This window comes from Homo sapiens, chromosome 4 (assembly GCF_000001405.40).
Source record: "Homo sapiens chromosome 4, GRCh38.p14 Primary Assembly".
Lineage (NCBI taxonomy): Eukaryota > Metazoa > Chordata > Mammalia > Primates > Hominidae > Homo > Homo sapiens.
This window is the reverse complement of record NC_000004.12, coordinates 188112102-188131381: the sequence shown is the minus strand read 5'-3', so window position 1 is coordinate 188131381 and position 19280 is coordinate 188112102. Positions and strand designations below refer to the sequence as shown.

The 19280-nt window shown below is 44.4% G+C and overlaps 1 long non-coding RNA gene and 1 pseudogene across 1 annotated transcript, besides 3 other annotated features; both read left to right on the top strand.

Moving 5' to 3' along the window:
- Window positions 3370–4569: an enhancer, noted in NCBI's record as "MED14-independent group 3 enhancer chr4:189047967-189049166 (GRCh37/hg19 assembly coordinates)". NCBI's record gives its function as "activates an origin of replication core promoter dependent on BRD2, BRD4, P300/CBP and CDK7 cofactors, and independent of MED14, by STARR-seq in HCT116 cells {active_cell/tissue: HCT116}" and the evidence as "EXISTENCE:reporter gene assay evidence [ECO:0000049][PMID:35650434]".
- On the top strand, window positions 3820–12023 carry LOC107986337 (uncharacterized). Its single transcript, XR_001741958.2, has 3 exons — window positions 3820–4279; window positions 4823–4954; window positions 11658–12023. It is a non-coding gene; the product is annotated as an uncharacterized LOC107986337 (long non-coding RNA).
- On the top strand, window positions 9748–9851 carry RNU6-173P (RNA, U6 small nuclear 173, pseudogene; annotated as a pseudogene).
- Window positions 18080–18597: an enhancer, noted in NCBI's record as "H3K4me1 hESC enhancer chr4:189033939-189034456 (GRCh37/hg19 assembly coordinates)". NCBI's record gives its function as "activates a minimal SCP1, AML or CMV promoter by ChIP-STARR-seq in naive H9 embryonic stem cells {active_cell/tissue: H9 hESC(naive)}" and the evidence as "EXISTENCE:reporter gene assay evidence [ECO:0000049][PMID:30033119]".
- Window positions 18598–19115: an enhancer, noted in NCBI's record as "H3K27ac-H3K4me1 hESC enhancer chr4:189033421-189033938 (GRCh37/hg19 assembly coordinates)". NCBI's record gives its function as "activates a minimal SCP1, AML or CMV promoter by ChIP-STARR-seq in naive H9 embryonic stem cells {active_cell/tissue: H9 hESC(naive)}" and the evidence as "EXISTENCE:reporter gene assay evidence [ECO:0000049][PMID:30033119]".

Below are 19280 nucleotides of genomic sequence, written 5' to 3'. Positions count from 1 at the left end.
TCTCCAAATACACACACAGACACACACACACACATATACCTTCTAAATAATTTGTCAGCAGTTTTTTCAGTAAAGAAATATTGGAGAATAGAGTAGGAGCTAAGAAATGTGAGGTGTGACTTGGAGTAAGCCAATTAATGAAGCAATTTTCCTCAGCTTTAAGGATAAAATTGTCTCTGAAGATTGGTTTCAGCTGTGATATAATAAAATTTTTTAATAGTTTGCAACTTCAATGGCAGCTTTTATTTATTTAACGATTAGATATTGCGCCTCTATTATATAGAGAGCAATGAGCTCAGTGCTGAAAGTGACTAAAAATTATTTCTCTTCTTTGGGAGCAGAAGATATACGTGCAAAAGAAGAAGAAAAATCTACGAAATGAAAAGACGTGTGCCCTGAGAGTGGTAGAATTTAAATTAATTAACTGCTTTGGCATTTTAGTGGCGGGAACATGACATTCTTGCTGGAACAATTAGAAAAAACTTCCGGGAGAAATGGTATTCGATCTGGACCTTTACGGACTAACACGTATTTCAACTGAAGAGATAAGCTACTATTTAGGAGTGAGAAAACTCACTGAATATTTCAGAAATAAAATGTGTAATCTGATTGACGGTGAGTCAAAATATTACAAACAAACAAACAAAAATCGCAACACTCTTGTTATCTCTGAAATATTTAAAGACACAATTCAGCTTGACAATATTCGCCTTTAACATTACACAGCAAGACATGGGGCCATATCTGTGGGGAAGGTTCCGGGCACTGTAACTGCACAGGTTTCCTGGTGTGTGGAACCCAGCCACTCTCAACCAGTTGCCCAGCTTGGACACTGGGAGGTGCTCTCTAGAGCTTCCATCTGCGTAGCTTCCCTGAGGATTTAGGGGGAGGTGCTTTGTTTGTTTCTGGAGAATAAAGGCTATATTGTTCATCCCCTTGCTTTAATAAATGTTAAATGAAGAAAATTTCCTTGTTTCAGGCTTTCTGCTGGGTGCTTTATGTACTTGTCTCTTAAAGAGATTTAAAAAAATGGGGGAGAAGTCAAAAAGAAATTGTGTAAGTTGGGGAGCCTGGGCAGGAAACTTTGAAAAGCAGTTCAAACAAATAAGACAAATAAGAATTTAAACACTTGGTTGACATTTAGGAGTTATAGTCTAAGGCCAGGCGCGGTGGCTCACGCCTGTAATCCCAACACTTTGGGAGGCTAAGGTGGGTGGATCACCTGAGGTCAGGAGTTCAAGACCAGCCTGGCCAACATGGTGAAACCCCATCTCTACTAAAAATAGAAAAATTAGCCGGGCATGGTGGCAGGCATCTGTAATCCCAGCTACTTGGGAGACTGAGGCAGGAGAATCACTTGAGCCCAGGGGGCAGAGGTTGCAGTGAGCCGAGATCATGCCATTGCACTCCAGCCTGGGCGACAAGAGTGAGACACCGTCTCAAAAAAAAGGAGTTATAGTTTAACTTCTTCCCTCATTCTAATGCAGATTCTGGGGTTTGAGATTATTAGAGATAAATAATTTGAATTACTACCATGTGTATAGGATTTAATATTGGTAAAGAATAATAGCAGATTAATTTAGAAAAACTCTTGAGATCAAAGGTCACTTGTTCTGTGCTTGCTTCTATCACTTAATTCTGCAGGAATTATTAAAAACCTTTTAAGTTCTAGGTGGTGTAATACACCCAGTATATTAGGAAATAAATAATCATCCCACATTAAACTAGTATTTTATAGGGAAACAGATGCTTAAGTATATACACGTTGTTTCCTCATCTGTTTTTTTTGTTTGTTTGTTTGTTTGTTTGTTTCTGTAGAGACAGAGTCTTGCTATGCTGCCCAGGCTGGCCTTGAACTCCTGGGCTCAAGTGATCCTCCTGCCTCAGCTTCCCAAGTAGCTGGGACTATAAGTGCACACCACTTCCTTAATGAGAAAGTCCACTTTTTGCTTTTCTTAGGGAAATCTTTTTTTTTTTTTTTTTTTTGAGGCACTCTCTCTCTGTCGCCCAGGCTGGAGTGCAGTGGCGCAATCTCGGCTCACTGCAACTTCCTCTTCCCAGATTCAAGCAATTCCCTGCCTCAGCCTCCCGAGTAGCTGGGATGACAGGTGCCCACCACCATGCCCGGCTAATTTTTGTATTTTTAGTAGAGACGGGGTTTCACCATCTTGGCCAGGCTGGTCTTGAACTCCTGACCTTGTGATTCACCCGTCTTGGCCTCCCAAAGCGCTGGGATTACAAGTGTGAGCCACCGCGCCCGGCCCAGAAATCTTAACATTTATCCATAAGACTCTACCTCTCACCCCCCTGCAAAAAATAGGATCTTTAACGGAAAGAAACGAGACTAGTTGTTCTAATGGCACCCAATTCTTGCCAGACACCATTCTGAACACTTTCAACATGTGACCCTGTGAGGTGGACATGAGTTCCTGCCCCATTTACAGATGAGAAAACAAACTCTAGTTATGTGAGTTCTCTTAGATTCACAGAGGTGGCCTTTTTTTTTTTTTTTTTTTTTTTTTTTGAGATGGGGTCTCCCTTTGTTGCCCAGGCTGGAGTGCAGTGGCTCGACCTCTGCTAACTGTAACCTCTGCCTCCCAGGTTCCAGCGATTCTCCTGCCTCAGCCTCCTGAGTAGCTGGGATTACAGGTGCCCACCACCACGCCTGGCTGATTTTTTTTGTTTTTAATAGAGACGGAGTTTCTCCATGTTGGTCAGGCTGGTCTCAAACTCCTGACCTTGTGATCCACCCACCTTAGCCTCCCAAAGTGCTGGGATTACAGGCGTGAGCCACTGCGCCCGGCCCAGAGGTGGCCTTATTTCAGAGTCCAGGCTATCAACCACAGAGCCATGCTGCCATTTCCACAGAACTGAATGAGCCACAAATGCAGAACTCAAGGAGTTTGGCTGGCAACCAGACTCCTTGAGTTTTGTGACCAAAAGGAGGCTTGCTGGGCAAGGATCCTGTCAAGTCCGTCCCTGGCAGTGGATGGGCTGAGGTTCCCCTGGCCCCTGAACTATCCAATAATAATTGGTGCCAGATGCTGCCTGGGGACACTCCTCCCATGCTCATTGATTACTTGTAGCCGCAGTTGGTAAGGCCAGAGAAGAGAGCGCTTACTTCTAGGTAAGTTTATGACAGGGCTTTCAAAAGGAGCCAGCAAGGCCAGGCACCGTGGCTCACGCCTGTAATCTGGGCATTTTGGGAGGTCGAGGCAGGCAGACCACCTGAGGTCAGGTGTTCGAGACCAGCCTGATCAACATGGATAAACCCAGTCTTCACTAAAAAATACAAAAGGTAGCTGGGTGTGGTGGCACATGCCTGTAATCCCAGCTACTCGGGAGGCTGAGGCAGGAGAATCACTTGAACCTGGGAGGCAGAAGTTGCAGTGAGCTGAGATCACGCCACTGCACTCCAGCCTGGGCAGCGGAGCGAGACTCCGTCTAAAAAAAACAAAAAAAGAATCAGAATTGTTGTCACTTTTCAGGTGATTCTAACATGCAATGAAGTTAAGAAGTTAAGAATCACGACTTTCACAAATAAAACCACCTCACAAAGACTGGGTTCCCAGGCAGCTGGAGGCTGGCACCCGGGGCATGCTTTTATTCTGCCTCTTAGCAAAACTGTGCCTCCCTCCCCTCATTCCAAATGAGAGTTCCCAGATGAGTGTGGGTAGACAGTAACATTCTGAGGGAGGTGTAGGGTGGAGGGAGGAAAGTCCCAGACAACTTCTATACAGGCTAAGAATGGCAAGTGTGACTCAGTCAGAGTGTGACTCAGAAGATGAAGGCATGTGATCGTGAGCTGACATTAAAGACAAATTCCTGTTGCTGCAAAAAAATCAGGTCAAGATGAGAGGTTTTTATTGATTTTTCTCTCCTTAATCCTTCTCTTCCTCCCTGCAAAGTATGAAGGCTAGCTTGGATCTACCAGATTTCAAGAAAGAGCTGACTTGTTCTATCCATTCGCATCATTTGATCAAACCACTTGTAATTGCAGGTGCACGCAGGCCTTGCTGTGAGTGCCTCTAGGGAGATGGAAAGGAACATCTGGTTATGGCTCCAAGGTTTGCTGTGCAGTAGGGGATGATGGCTGAGATGGCAAAGCATCTGAGATGTCATGTAATGGATTTCAAGAATAGCATATGTGAGATGCACCCAAAAAGCCTGAAGGCTTGTGTTGACAGAGTTGATGCTCCTGTGTGAGACTCGTGTTCTGTCTCAGCAACACAAGTCTCTCTCAAAATTCATCACTGGGAAGGCAAAAGTCATCTTCAAGGTAAGATTGTCTACTCTGAAAATTTCAGGCTGGGAGCAGTGGCTTACGCCCATAGTCCCAGCACTTTGGGAGGCCGAGGTGGGCAGATCACCTGAAGTTGGGAGTTCGAGACCAGCCTGACCAACATGGAGAAACCCCGTCTCTACTAAAAATACAAAATTAGCCTGGCGTGGTGGCACATGCCTGTAATCCCAGCTACTCGGGAGGCTGAGGCAGGAGAATCGCTTGAATCCGGTAGGCAGAGGTTGTAGTGAGCTGAGATTGTGCCACTGCACTCCAGCCTGGGCAACAAGAATGAAACTCTGTCTCAAAAAAAAAGAAAAAAGAAAAAAAGAAAATTTCAGGGGTTCATTCTTGATCATTCTTTCCGTCTTTGAAGACGTGGGGTCTTCAAAACAATTCCTACTAGCTCATTCATTTTCTATCCCTGACCTGTCAACAACGGAGACTCAGGAGCCCCAAAAGCCCCGTTTTGACTGACAGTAATGCTAATTTCCACATTCTAATTCACGCCTAAATTTATGCTTACTTTTGACTTTATAGCTCTAGCATAGCAACCTCCAAGAGAGGATAATCGTTATCCTTTTCAGAATGAGGCCCAAGAAATCCGGAATTCTCTACACAAGGCAATGGTCTCACAAGCGGACAACTGCCTCGGCAGAGAAAAATGAACAGGTGAGTATGCTTGGGGCTCTTCCGAATAAGGATGGCCGCTTGATTAACGAGGAGTCTTCAGTGAGTCCAGGGTCACAGGCTGCAGCTTCTCCTCACCACAGTGTAAACACCAATTTGGCCAAATGTGAGCACCCAAACTATATAAAGGCCAGAAAATATAGCGAGTTCTTGCCTCAAGGAAACTATCCTCATGGAAGAGTCAGAAAAGTCACTGGACAGTCATGATCTAGAAACTATGGTAAAATGGCTGTAGTGAGTACACAAAGCACCAAAGCCAGAAACAGTTTCAAAGAAATAGTTAAGGATTCTACTCAAGCGTCACTTCTTCCATCCTAATAGGGTTTGAAGGAACAAGAAGGCTCAGAGGGCACCATTATTACGTAGAAAGGACTGGAAGGAGGAGTAAGTCAAGCTCCTCATCAGCAAAAGTTATTTGGGAGAAAATAGGCAGGGCCTTGCACATCTAAAAAATGTGTACTTAATTCCAAAGTAAATATATATCCACCAAAGTGGTAAACAAGAGATTGGCAGAGAAAGATTATTTTTTATTTATTTATTTATTTATTTTGACTGGCTTCAGGTTGGGATCAAAATAGTTTACACTGTCACAAAACTTGATATTTGGTTGCAGTTCTCAGCTAGAAGCTGGGCTGGGGTAGTGGCAGTGGGATAGAGATAAGTGGACTTTAATGTTGTATAAAGTCTTAGACATGCAGGGCACGGTGGCTGACACCTGTAATCCCAGCACTTTGGGAGGCTGAGGCAGGCGAATCACAAGGTCAGGAGATCAAGACCATCCTGGGCAATATGTTGAAACCCTGTCTCTACTAAAAATACAAAAATGAGCCAGGCGTGGTGGCACACACCTGTAGTCCCAGCTACTCAGGAGGCTGAGGCAGGAGAATCGCTTGAACCCAGGAAGCAGAGGTTGCAGTGAGCCGAGATCATGCCATTGCACTCCAGCGTGGGCGACAGAGTGAGACTCTATCTCAAAAAAAAAAAAAGTCTTAGATAGCTAAAACTTAGTAATTAACTATAGAAATATGACGCAGATAGTCTTTCCTAGACAATACTGGCATTCCTGAAAAACTGAGTGGATGTGGTTGCCTTTGACACGGGGAGAGAATGGTGTATATATATGTACATGTTTCATCTTGGACACCTTGACTTTGAGGTGTCCTGCACAATATCTGGATAGAGAGCTCCAGTGATCAATATGTACATCCTTATGAGCCTGAAGACGAACAGAGGGACCTAAACTAGAGATGAAGTTCTGGCATACAGAAGGTAGCTGAAGACTAGATCACAGGTAACTGTCCAGAAAGAATATGTAGAATGGGGAGTCTCCACTGTCATGATTATAGAAGGCAGGTGAAACTCAAAGTTCAAATAGATCTTAAACATCCTTGGGAATTGTCCTACGAGGATTAGAAATCAACTGTAGGGCTAAAAATAACATGTTTCTATAATGCAAAGTAAAGGACTTGTTTTAGTATGACAAGAAAATCATGTTGATTCAAACATGTCCTTTCCCTGGCACACTGAAGTTTGGTTGTAAGTAAGAGCAGTCGAAGGCAGAGAACACTAACGCAGCCAAGGCAGCAAGCCCTCAGTGGGGTGATCTCTCTGCTATGATGAGATCACGACAGCCATCCACACCACACTCTTCTTGGCTCAGTTTGACCAGATACTCTGTCATAGAGATGCTGATTTTGCTGTTCCTATGTGCCTCTTGTCCTGGCCACCCTAACTCGGCAGCCTCAACCCTTTCCCAAATTTCTTATCAAATAACTTTCACTTCCAAAAAAAGCAGATTCAATAGTTACCCTGTATTTTTGTTTTTGTCGTTGTTAGAAGTTTATGTGTCCTCGACTCTATATGTGGCCTTTTTTTAAGGGCTGTTAACATTTTGTAAGCATCTGGTTTGAGTTGTATAGGGATTGAGTGTTCCACTCTAACTCTTACGGAAGCACTATTATTTTAATACATTATCTGGCAGAGTGGGGTGTCTTTTTGTTTGTTTGTTAGGAAAATACATTGCACGTAGCAGAAATGCCTATATATGGAAAAATGCATTATTTCATCCAGATCAAACTCTAGATTTAAATGAAAAAGGCATTTGAGTATATTAAGAGCCAAGAAAATGCAAAATCTATCAAGTGATGTGTGTATGTTACTGAGAGGGGTGTTTTGAGCTTCATGAATAGAAAGCTTGAAAGGTTATGAGGTCACTGATGTACGGTAAGAATTCAGTGGGCCTACCGGGGCCTCTGACCAAATCCCAGTCAGCATCCTCACAAACGTATCTGGTCATTATGTCACTTCAAGCAGGCTGCAAAAGAAATACCAAAAAATCACATAGGAAGGGAAGCATCAGCATCATGTGGTGGGAGGTCAGTTCCGTGGTGGGTGCTGAGGAGAAGCACCCTGGGTATCTGCTGCCTTAGAGTTCACGCCCAGCTGAAATGTCCAACCCAATGACAGTGATTCCCTAGAAGGCTAGTGCCTTTTAACTGAAAGAAGTACCATAACCAGAGTCTTCGTACTTTTGGATATGTAAAAATCTATTTAGTTTTGCTTGTGATATTTAGGAGAACTCAGCTATGGAAATAACCAAGTAACTCCAATGTAAAACATATAATTGAGTCATTGATTTAGATTTGTGATTCTAAGTTGAGGTTTAAATATATACAAAGCATTGTGATGTTTCAGAATATCAGGTTCACTATTTTTATAAGTTTGATTTATCATATAAGAATTTTGGGCCGGGTGCGGTGGCTCATGTCTGTAATCCCAGCACTTTGGGAGGCTGAGGCGGGTGGGTCACCTGAGGTCAGGAGTTTGAGACCAGCCTGGCCAACATGGTGAAACCCTGTGTCTACTAAAAATACATAAATTAGCTCGGCATGGTGGCGTGTGCCTGTAATCCCAGCTCCTCAGGAGGCTGAGGCAGGAGAATCGCTTGAACCCAGGAGGCAGAGGTTGCAGTGAGCTGAGATCACGTCACTGCACTCCAGCCTGGGCAACAAGAGCAAAACTCCATCTCAAATTAAAAAAAAAAAAAAGAATTTCTTGCTGAGGAAGGATATTTTTCAAGTCAGACAATTAAACTATTTAAAAATATTGACTACGTTCATTGATAACTATATCCTCACTATATAAAATGGTCTAGCTTTGTAAACGAGACCAAGCATAAGGGTCTTTGAGTGGTAAAATTTACTAGAATTATATAACAACTCTAAACAAACTTAAAAGTTTAAGAAAACCTATTTTGGGGTTTGGCTTTATAAATACAAACCTTCCAGATAGTCTACGTATAAAAATACTGCCCTTGTGGCTCCCCTAACCTTTATATAAATTCACTTATGATATAAGATCTGCTACAGAGCCATGGGAACCTCCATGTAAAATGCTAACCTTTGCAAAACCCTCAAGATTTTGAAAGGACCAGACCAAAGGCACTTCTAGATGATAAGAAGAAACAAAGAAAAAAATTAAAAGAAAGGAAAAAGAAAAAAAAAGAAGAAACAAAAAATTTATTTGTTTTGTACTCGGTAATAGTTTTCCTTTTAAACCACCAATCATTTTGAAGAAGAAAGCAAGCTTTCGTTCATCTATTTGCCCAACGATGACTACTTTTAGAAGTGAGCTGCGAGGATTAATGGAAGATACCTCAGGGTAAAGGGCATCTACCCCACTTATTGCTTCTCAGCTTGAGCTTCCTCCGGGAAGCATTTCCAAGTCTCCTTGGTTAATTAAGTTCCCCCTCTGATACAAGAGCTCATAGTTCTTCCTATCTCTCCTTCAATGCCTTAGTGTTGCCATTTGTCTCTTGCCTTAGACTGTAACTCCCTTATGTCAGTGCTTTTCATACTATTGACCACGACCCACTGGAAGAAACACAGTTTTACACGACATGGGACATGCAACTGATGAAACACTTTTATCTTTGCTGCAGAAAAAGTGCCCTGAATCTTTTTTTTTGAGATGGAGTCTCACTCTGTTGCCTTGGCTGAGTGCAGTGGTGCAATCTCGGCTCACTGCAACCTCCACCTCCCACTCCAAGGATTCTCCTGCTTCAGCCTCCCGAGTAGCTGGGATTACGGGGCGTGCCACCATGCCCGACTAATTTTTTAATATTTTTTAGTAGAGACAGGGTTTCACCATGTTGGCCAGGCTGGTTTCGAACTCCTGACCTCAAATGACCTGCCCGCCTCAGCATCCCAAAGTGCTGAGATTACAGGTGTAAGCCACCACTCCCGGCCCAAATATCGTATTTTTTTTTAGTACTGGTCATGGTTAATTCAACTGACATAGCAACCTGCAGTCTAGAATAACTGGCCCAAGAGGAGGGGACTGTGTGTGTGTGTGTGTGTGTGGGTATTTTATTTTTCTCCACAAATTGCATTCTAACAGTTCTGTGCATATATATGGAGAGTAGCAACAAACAGATGCTGGATAAACAAAGGGCTGGATGAGAATTTCAACTACGTGTGTGTGTGCTGTGTGTCGGATTTCCTTTGAAGAAGGATTTATCTCCTTAAAGTGGAAAGCCACAGGTAACAATCTGTGACTACCTGTTGTTAGCCTCTGTAAGACTGAGAGCGGGTACGCCACTAACTTCGTGGAACGAACTTCAACCACGTGGATTACACAGTTAACTACCAGTAGTCAAACGTGAAACCTCTCGTGAATGAGTAGGAAGTGGAGAAAAACAAAGAAAATGCAAGAATCTGTCAATACCTGCAGGAGGCTTCTCTTATGCAGAATCTGGTCAGAAAAAAACGGAAACCATGATCGCTTCAGCAGCACATAAACTAAAATTGGAACTATACAGAGATTAGCAAGGCCCCTGTGCGAGGATGACACCCAAATTCGTGAAGCATTCCACGTTTTCTTAAAATAAGAAAATTCTTAAAATAAAATGTAAAACTACTGAAACTGGTAGCAATTTGTGCTCATTTCACTGAACATGTGAAGACATTTAGTTCATTGTCTTGTGTGAACAGGTATAGTGACAAGTAGGGTGAATTTTTGGAAAACAAATACTTTGTATCTTCTAAAGAACTTTGGTTCAGGGAGAGGGTTTCACCCTTGTAGGGGAAGGGTAAAATTTACTACTTTCTCATGAAAAAATCCTCACCGAGTATATTTTCTTTCTAGGTTAAGTTCTGTGTCAAAGCTATTCTAGGTTTGTGTTGAGGCTATCATTTTGGTCTAATAAAATAATTTTGAGTTAGAACAGAATTCTTGATTTGTTTTCTTTTTTTTTTAGATACAGTCTCACTCTGTCGCCCAGGATGGAGTGCAGTGGTGCTATCTTGGCTCACCGCAACCTCCACCTCCCAGGTTCAAGCAATTCTCCTGCCTCAGTCTCCCGAATAGCTGAGATTACAGGCATGTGCCACCATGCCCAGCTAATTTTTGTATTTTTAGTAGAGACAGGGTTTCACCATGTTGACCAGGCTGGTCTCGAACTCCTGACCTCAGGTGATCCACCCACCTCAGCCTCCCAAAGTGCTGGGATTACAAGTGTGAGCCACCACGCCCGGCTTGATTTGTTTCCTGAACCCAACATAAGATGTAGGCGTTGCTTGAAGAATCCACTTCTAATCCTCTTTCTTTATCTCCTTAGTCACTGAGCAGTTCAGTGGAGTGTCTGCGTCAGTTGTCTATTGCATTGTAACGGGTGACCACAAACTTAGCATCTGAAAACAACACCCATGTACGAGCTCACAGTTCTGCAGGCCAGAAATCCAGCATCCCATGACTGGGATCTCTGCTCAGGGTCTCAGAGGTTGGACAGCATGTATTCTTTTAAGTTTGGGGTCTTCTTCCAAGTTCATTTACATCGTTGACAGAACTCAGTTCCTTAAAGTTACAGGAGTGGATGAAGACCCCATTTTCTTGCTGACTGTCAATGAGAGTTGCTGTCAGAGGCCACTGTCCGCCACTGTCAGATCCCCGCCGTGTGTCTCTCCAGAATCCTTCTCCCAAGCCACCAATCCCTCACATTGTGTCTTCCTCACCACAAAAACCCAGTCTTTGTTGGGGGCTCACAGGAGTAGGTCAGGCCTATCCAGGGCAGTCTCCCTACCTTAAGGTCAATTGATTTGGCCTTAATTACATCTGCAAAATCCCTCACATCAACAACCAGATTTTTTTTTTTTTTTTTTTTTTTTGAGAGATAGTCTCACTCTGTCACTCTGTTGCCCAGGCTGGAGTGCAGTGGTGTGATTTCGGCTCACTGCAACCTCCACCTCCTTCCAGGTTCAAGCGATTCTCCTGCCTCAGCCTCCTGAGTACCTGGGATTATAGGTGCACGCCACTATGCCTGGCTAATTTTTGGAGGTTAGTAGAGACGGGGTTTCACCATGTTGGCCAGGGTGGTCTTGATCTCTTGACCTTGTGATCCGCCCGCCTCGGCCTCCCAAAGTGCTGGGATTACAGACATGAGCCACCGCTCCTGGCCAGCACCCAGATTAGTATGTGTTTGAAAAACTGGGAGAAAGTGTATGTGTACTAGTGGGTGAGAATCCTGGGGGCATTCTCATATTTCTGCCCACCACAGTGCCTCTTCTCTATCTGCCTGTGTCTAAGGGATGGCCTACTTACTGCAGGTATCCAGTGAGGGAAGGGAGTAAGGAAAACAAATTTTTTTCTTAGCATTACCTAAACAGAATAACTCCATCTTTGTTCACAGGCACCATTCCAAGATGAAGAACGTCCCCAAGGTGGTTTTGAGAAGGCCTGAGCATGCAGCAAGATGGTAAGAATGGATGAGAGAATTTTCAGGCGAAGTCAGCAGTGGCGCAGGCGAGCTGGCCTGGATTCACGGCTGTTCTATCACTGTACTGCACCTCCAAGCTTGGAGCAGTCAAGGGAAAAGACCAAGGCTTACCCATACAGGATTAAAATCAAATGAAACTGTCCATGGGACACAGGACTTAGATAGAAATAGCGGTTTCCTTCTATCCTCTCTCTTTTCAGGAACTATCAGTTTCAAGAAAATGCTTTTGGTTCGCAGGTTTTATGTTGCAGCTCTTCATTATTAAAGCCACATAGTCTAGAAGGCAGAGACAGTCTGAGTCCTCCTCCACGATTAACACTGCTTTTTCCATAGCTTTATCTCCTGTTCCTAAGCCACCTCCCCTCGCCATCACTGCCAAAAAACTCAGAATGATCCCATGAGTTATCCCAAACTCAAATAAATCCCATGCTCAGCTGTCCATGTTAGATCTTCCAGATCTTAACTTTAGGACAGTCAATGTATCCAATGTACTAGCTTCAGCTATGTGTGACAGTAAAAAGCAAAGTAACAGTGGCTTAAAACGGGTGGAAGTTTATTTTCCTCATTTAATACCCAGTAGGCAGAATGAATTCAGGGACCTCGACTCTCGTTTCTTCGACACATACAGCCTCCGTCCTACAGGATATCTGATGACCCAGTTTCTATCATTATGTTTACATTGAAGCCAGGCTCAAGAGGAGAAGGGTACACCCTCTCTCTTTGAGACTCTACAGAGTGACCAGGCGTGGTGGCTCACGCCTGTAGTAAACCCAGCACTCTGGGAGGCTAAGGCAAGTGGATCCCTGAGGTCAGGAGTTTGAGACCAGCCTGCCCAACATGGTGAAACCCTGTCTCTACTAAAAATACAAAAAATTAGCCGGGCATGGTGGCAGGCGCCTTTAGCCCAACTACTTGGGAGGCTGAGGCAGGAGAACCGCTTGAACCTGGGAGGTGGAGGTTGCAGTCAGCCAAGATCATGCCACTGCACTCCAGCCTGGACGCTGTCTTAAAAAAAAGAAAAAAGAAAAAAAGGACTCTACAAAGTGGCACAAAAACTTTGTGGTAGAACCTGTTGGCGAGAACATAATGACATGTCTATACATTGCTGTGGTGGGGGCTATGCTTTTTTCCCCCGCATTGTGACGACTGATTTTAGGTGTCAACTTGGCTGAATTAAGGAATGCCTAGAAACCTGGGAAAGCATTATTTGGGGTGTGTCTGTGAAAGTGTTTCTGGAAAAGATGAGGGTGAGAGTCACACTGGAGGGGATGGGGAAGATCTACCCTCAATCGGGTGGGCACTGAATCTGTGTGTCCATCTTCTGTGGTGGGATGCAGGCCCTCTTCCTCTCCTGTCCTTGTTCACCAGAACTCGGGGTTCCCAGGCCTTTGGGCCCCAGGACTTACACCAGCAGCAGCCGGGGTTTGCAGGGCTTCAGCCCTGGCCACGAGCCCCACCATCGGCCTCCCTGGCTCTAAGGCCTTCACACGTGGCTGGTCTCCGGCTGGAGACACACCCTCCAGCTGACACACCAGGGTGTGTCGCATCCTGGGACTTATCAGCCTCCTAATAGCATAAGCCAGTTCCCCTAATACACCTCCTCTCATGCATCTCTCTACCTATCCTACTGATTGTGTCTTTCTGGAGAACTCTAATCCCAGTGCCTAAACCCTGGATAGGAACAGAGCCCTTCCCTCACGGAGTCCTCAGATTTGCAGTGTGTGGTTAATCGAGGTGACCGTCTTGACAGGCTGATTCTCCTGCCATCGTGAGAACTCAGAACTTGACCTCTGGAGTCATTACTGGGGGTGCGTGTGGGAGAGAAGCGTGGCTGAGCAGTAGGAGTCAGGCAGGTATCTCGGAAGACAAAGTCGTCTCTTTCTCCAGTGTGGATTTGTATTTGCCGAGGTGCTTGGCAGACACCACTGTATTTTCTGTAACCACATTCTTTACTATTAGTTCCTCAAACAAAGCTTGTTACAGACAAGGAAGAGCTCTTCCTAGGTATTTGGGGGCTGTTTTCGTTTATGATGCTATTAGAGACTGCCTCCTACTCTGTTTGCCAATTGTGCCATTAGAACTCTGCATCCTGTCTTCTTTTTTTTCATTCCCACAATATGCGTGGGGATTCTGTACCATTAATTGTCTGCCCAGTCCACAAATCTTTAAAAAGAAAACTATTTTTAACCCTCTGAGAAAAAAAAATCCTGGATTAGGAGTCAGGGACTTTTGCACTAAGCAGATAGAATAATAGATAAAATGTAGGCCTGGCTCCTGCCTCCATTGTTTCTAGTTACAATCATAATGCGCACTGAAATAGTTACAGGCTAAAGAAGAAGTTATTTGGCAGTAATGATACCACTTACTTTCTTTCAAGATTGTAATCACCGTAACATTTAACCAGTCCCTACATTCTACCTACTACTGATGAAAAAGCATTGACAAAGCTAGCTCTATGTTCTAACAGGGCCAGCGCCGTGGCTCACGCCTGTGATCCCAGTACTTTGGCGGGGAGGATTACTTGAGGCCAGGAGTTTGCGACCAGCCTGAGAAACAAAGCCAGACTCTGTCTCTACAAAAAACTTTGTGAAAAAATAGCCAGGTGCAATGGCGTGTGTCTCTACTTAGGAGGCTCCGGTGAGAGGATTGCTTGAACCCAGGATGTCAAAGCCGCAGTCAGCCGTGTTGGTGCCACTGCTCTCCAGCCTCAGCAACAGAGGGAAAAACATTAATTTTAAGTATTAGATATATTGACTTGGTAATGATCAGAGATCAAGACCAAGCATTTAAGTTAGCATCTACACTAGTGGAAATGATATAAATATTAAGATTTAATAATGTGGGCCGGGCGCGGTGGCTCACGCCTATAATCCCAGCACCTTAGGAGGCCGAGGTGGGCGGATCATGAGGTCAGGAGATCGAGACCAGCCTGGCCAACATGGTGAAACCCCGTCTCTACTAAAAATACAAAAAATTAGCGGGCGTGGTGGCGGGCGCCTGTAGTCCCAGCTACTCAGGAGGCTGAGGCAGGAGAATCGCTTGAACCTGGGAGGCAGAGGTTGCAGTGAGCCGAGGGCACGCCATTGCACTCCAGCCTGGGGGACAAGAGCAAGACTTCATTTCAAAAGAAAAAACGATTTAATAATGTGAAAGAAACATATTTTATTCACATGCACACACACGAACTGTGATTACTACATACAGCCCATGGATGTTTCTGTCAGATTTATCCTTCTTCTACCTGCAAGAGGGATGCTCAGCTAAAATCATTTGCAGACAATTTTTTTGAGAATATAATACCAAGAGAATTATTAAGTTTTTAAAGAAACAAAACCTGAGAAAGCACACTAGGCCTAGGTAGATGTATCCCGTGTAAACTTCCGAATCTTAGAAAACAGTCTTTTGCATTAGCTAGTTTAGTCTTACAATGTTTACTAAAATATTTGTGTTTATAACTTTTCCCAAAGAGTTATATCCATAAGATCTTTTTACTTTACTACATGATCTCCACTACTTTTCTATAACTTCATGTTTGTATCCATTTTCTTTTTTTCTTTTCTTCTCTTTTTTTTTTTTTTTTTTTTTTTTGAGACAGAGTTTTGTCTTATTGCCCAGGCTGGAGTGCAATGACACGATCTCAGCTCACTGCAACCTCCACCTCCCAGGTTGAAGCGATTCTCCTGTCTCAGCCTCCCGAGTAGCTGGGATTACAGGCATGCACCACCAAGCCCAGCAAATTTTGTGCTTTTAGTAGAGCCAGGATTTCTCCATATTGGTCAGGCTGGTCTTGAACTCCCTGCCTCAGGTGATCCGCCCTCCTCAGCCTCCCAAAATGCTGGGATTTCAGGCGTGAGCCACCGTGCCTGGCTGTTTCCATTTTCTTTCTTTTTTTTTTTTTAATTTATTAATTTATTTATTTTTGAGATGGAGTCTCACTCTGTCGCCCAGGCTGGAGTGGAGTGGAGCGATCTCAGCTCACTGCAACCTCTGCCTCCCGGGTTCAAGTGATTCTCCTGCCTCAGTCTCCCGAGTAGCTGGGATTACAGGCACCCGCCACCACGCCCAGCTAATTTTTTGTATTTTTAGTAGAGACAGGGTTTCACTATGTTGGCCAGGCTGGTCTCAAACTCCTGAGCTCAGGCAATCTGCCCACCTCGGCCTCCCAAAGTGCTGGGATTACAGGCATGAGCCACCGCGCCTGGCCTCCATTTTCTTTATATAAGGTACTTTATGACTAAGAAGCAATCCATAGTTTATATCCTACCTGGTTAAATTTAAATGTGCATTACTCAGGGTGGCCCTGATGTTTTCTATCTCTGTGCTGCTTTCACCCTAGCAAACCACGCCCTTTTTCTACTTAACATTCACTTTAACCACTTTAACAAGAGAAGCAAAAAAGCAGTGTCTCTCCAGGATTGCACCGACAATACTGATCAACGGATCCATGCTAAGCCGTCGCAGCCAGGAAACGTAGTGTAAAGTTTAGTAAAGGGACTGAGTATGCTGAGGAAATACTCTTGTTTACATCACTACTAGGGCTACTATTGAAGGTGGATTTGGAGAAGGATTTCCTGCATTATATTTTGAGAGAAGATGGATAGTACTGATTTATTGATTTATTTTGTCTCTCAGCCATCTTTCTTCATTCATTCCAATCAGACTATGAAACTATGTTCACAGTAGTACAACCCTACTGTGTACTAAATTGAGTAGGTTGAATAAATTAACTCAACTGCATTAAGTTCTGCAAGACTAACACCTGGTTTTGTAAAAATATTTTGACGACATAAAATTTTCTTTTCTTTGCTTTTCTCTTTTTTGGAGGCAGAATCTTGTTCTATCCCCTAGGCTGGAGTGCAGTGGCTCGATCTTGGGTCACTGCAACCTCTGCCTCCCAGGTTCTCACCATTCTCCTGCCTCAGCCTCCTGAGTAGCTGGGACTACAGGTGCCTGCCACCACACCCGGCTAATTTTTTGTATTTTTAGTAGAGACAGGCTTTCACCATGTTGGCCAGGCTGGTCTTGATCTCCTGACCTCAGGCGATCTGCCCACCTTGGCCTCCCAAAGTGCTGGAATTACAGGTATGAGCCACCATGCCTGGCCAGATTTTCTGTTTGAACGAATATTGCCGGCATAATAACTTCTGGTCAAGTTTATTTATAAAGCTGCTTTTTTCTCTGAGATCCAATCCCTTACAACATTTGATGCCAGTCTTTTTAAACAGGTCCAGGTCCTGAAGGGTATCCAGATTATCACATAACTTTAAAGTGTGGAGGAGGCTTTTTGACTCCTTCTTTCAGGAGGGTGTAAAGATGCATATCCTCCAATGATAGTGAGCAGCATGTAGATTTTAGTATCTTGTTACATTTTTATTACTTATTTATTTTAGGGACAGGGTATCACTCTGTCACCCAGGCTGGAGTGCAGGGGCACAATCATAGCTCACTGCAGCCTCGACCTCTCTGGCTTGAGATCCTCCCACCTTAGCCTCCCAAGTAGCTGGAACTACAGGTGGGCGCCACCATGCCCAGCGATTTTAATATCTTGACAATGAGGCTTTATTGTTGAAACTGACTATAATGGAACAGAAAAAAATTCTTCCTAAAAATTTATACCAGTGGCCGGGCACGGTGGCTCACACCTGTAATCCCAGCACCTTGGGAGGACAAGGTGGGTCGATCACGAGGTCAGGAGATCGAGACAATCCTAGCCAATATGGTGAAACCCTGTCTCTATTAAAAATACAAAAATTAGCTGGGCATGGTGGCACACACCTGTAGTCTCAGCTACTCGGGAGGCTGAGGTGGGAGAATCACTTGAACCCAGGAGGCGGAGGTTGCAGTGAGCTGAGATCGTGCCACTGCACTCCAACCTGAGTGACAGAGCAAGACTCAGTATCAAAAAAAAAAAAATTATACCAGTGGCCTAAAAGTTTTCAGATAAACATTACATTAATAAAAGCTGAATATATGCCTTGATATCAATTACGCAATTACTACATTACTAATATATATATTATTAAACAAAAGAAACTGAAAAGGGCATCAAAGATCTCTTTATTTCCCATATGCCAATAATTCATCTCTACCACCTCCATCACCTTCCCGGCTGCACTCTCCCTTATGTAGAGGGCCGTGCTCTTGACTTTGCTGAAAAGAATGACTCTGGGTGAGGAGAGGAAGCATACTCATTCAGAGAGCAATTTCTGTTCTCATTACCACCCTCCTCGCTCCTACGTGTATTTCATCGAACCTCTCCTAATGCTCAGAGACTTGTGGAAGATGGTGACGGTGACTCATGGTGCAAGTGATGCTCAGCGTTCAGTGGCTTGCTGCAGGTCATGACAAGTGTGTGGCCAAGCTGGAATCAGAGCCCACGTCAGTCTAACTTCATCCATGAGACATGATGCTTTCCTCAGCCTGTGAACTTTGGCAAAAATCCGAAGTTTATTTGCTCAGGATTCACTGATTTCAGTTAAACCAGCCCGTTCCTTTTGCTGAGGGTATTCTGTCTGGTGAAAACCGATAGGGCTTGTCCCGGTGTTGTAATAGGTGAGGTGAAGGTGACCTCTTAATTCTGCTGGAATTGTTAGGAGGATTATCTTCCTTACAAAAGAGTGCAAGCAAACTGAACATGTTGGGTTCAGATAAGCATGCACTGACTTACAACAACAAATGGGTAACTGTGCTATCATGAGGTCGACCATAATGTTTGATTCTTTTTTTTTTTTTTTTTTGAAACAGAGTCTTGCTCTGTCGCCCAGGCTGGAGTGCAGTGGCTGTGATCTCGGCTCACTGCAACCTCTGCCTACCGGGTTCAAACGATTCTCCTGCCTCAGCCTCCCAAGTAGCTGGGATTACAGGTGCCCGCCACCATGCCCAGCTAATTTTTATATTTTTAGTAGAGACAAGGTTTCACCATGTTGGCCAGGATGGTCTTGATCTCTTGACCTTGTGATCCAACTGCCTCGGCCTCCCAAAGTGCTGGGATTACAGGCATGAGCCACAGTGCCCGGCCCCCATAATGTTTGACTCTTAATTTTTTTTTTTTTTTTTTGAGACAGAGCTTTGCTCTTGTTGCCCAGGCTGGAGTGCAGTGGCGCGATCTCGGCTCACTGCAACCTCCACCTCCTGGGTTCAAGTGATTCTCCTGCCTCAGCCTCCTGAGTAGCTGGGCATGCGCCCACGCCCGGCTAATTTTGTATTTTTAGTAGAGACGGGGTTTCTCCATGTTGATCAGGCTGGTCTCGAACTCCGGAACTCAGGTGATCCGCCTGCCTCGGCTTCTCAAAGTGCTGGGATTACAGGCGTGAGCCACTGCGCCTGGCCTGATTCTTAAGTTTTAATGCTTTCTTAAGCAAGGAAGAAGCAGTTGAACATGACTTCTGGACCTCTTAGAGCTGTGGGAAGTAAACCAGTGAGAGCCAAGCCCCTGCTTCTAATGGAGCAGCCTTGGAGAAAAGGAGCCAGAGAGAAGCCACACCTTCCAGATGAGTGATAACACTGGGACCACAACCAGCACACCCCCGCCTCCAG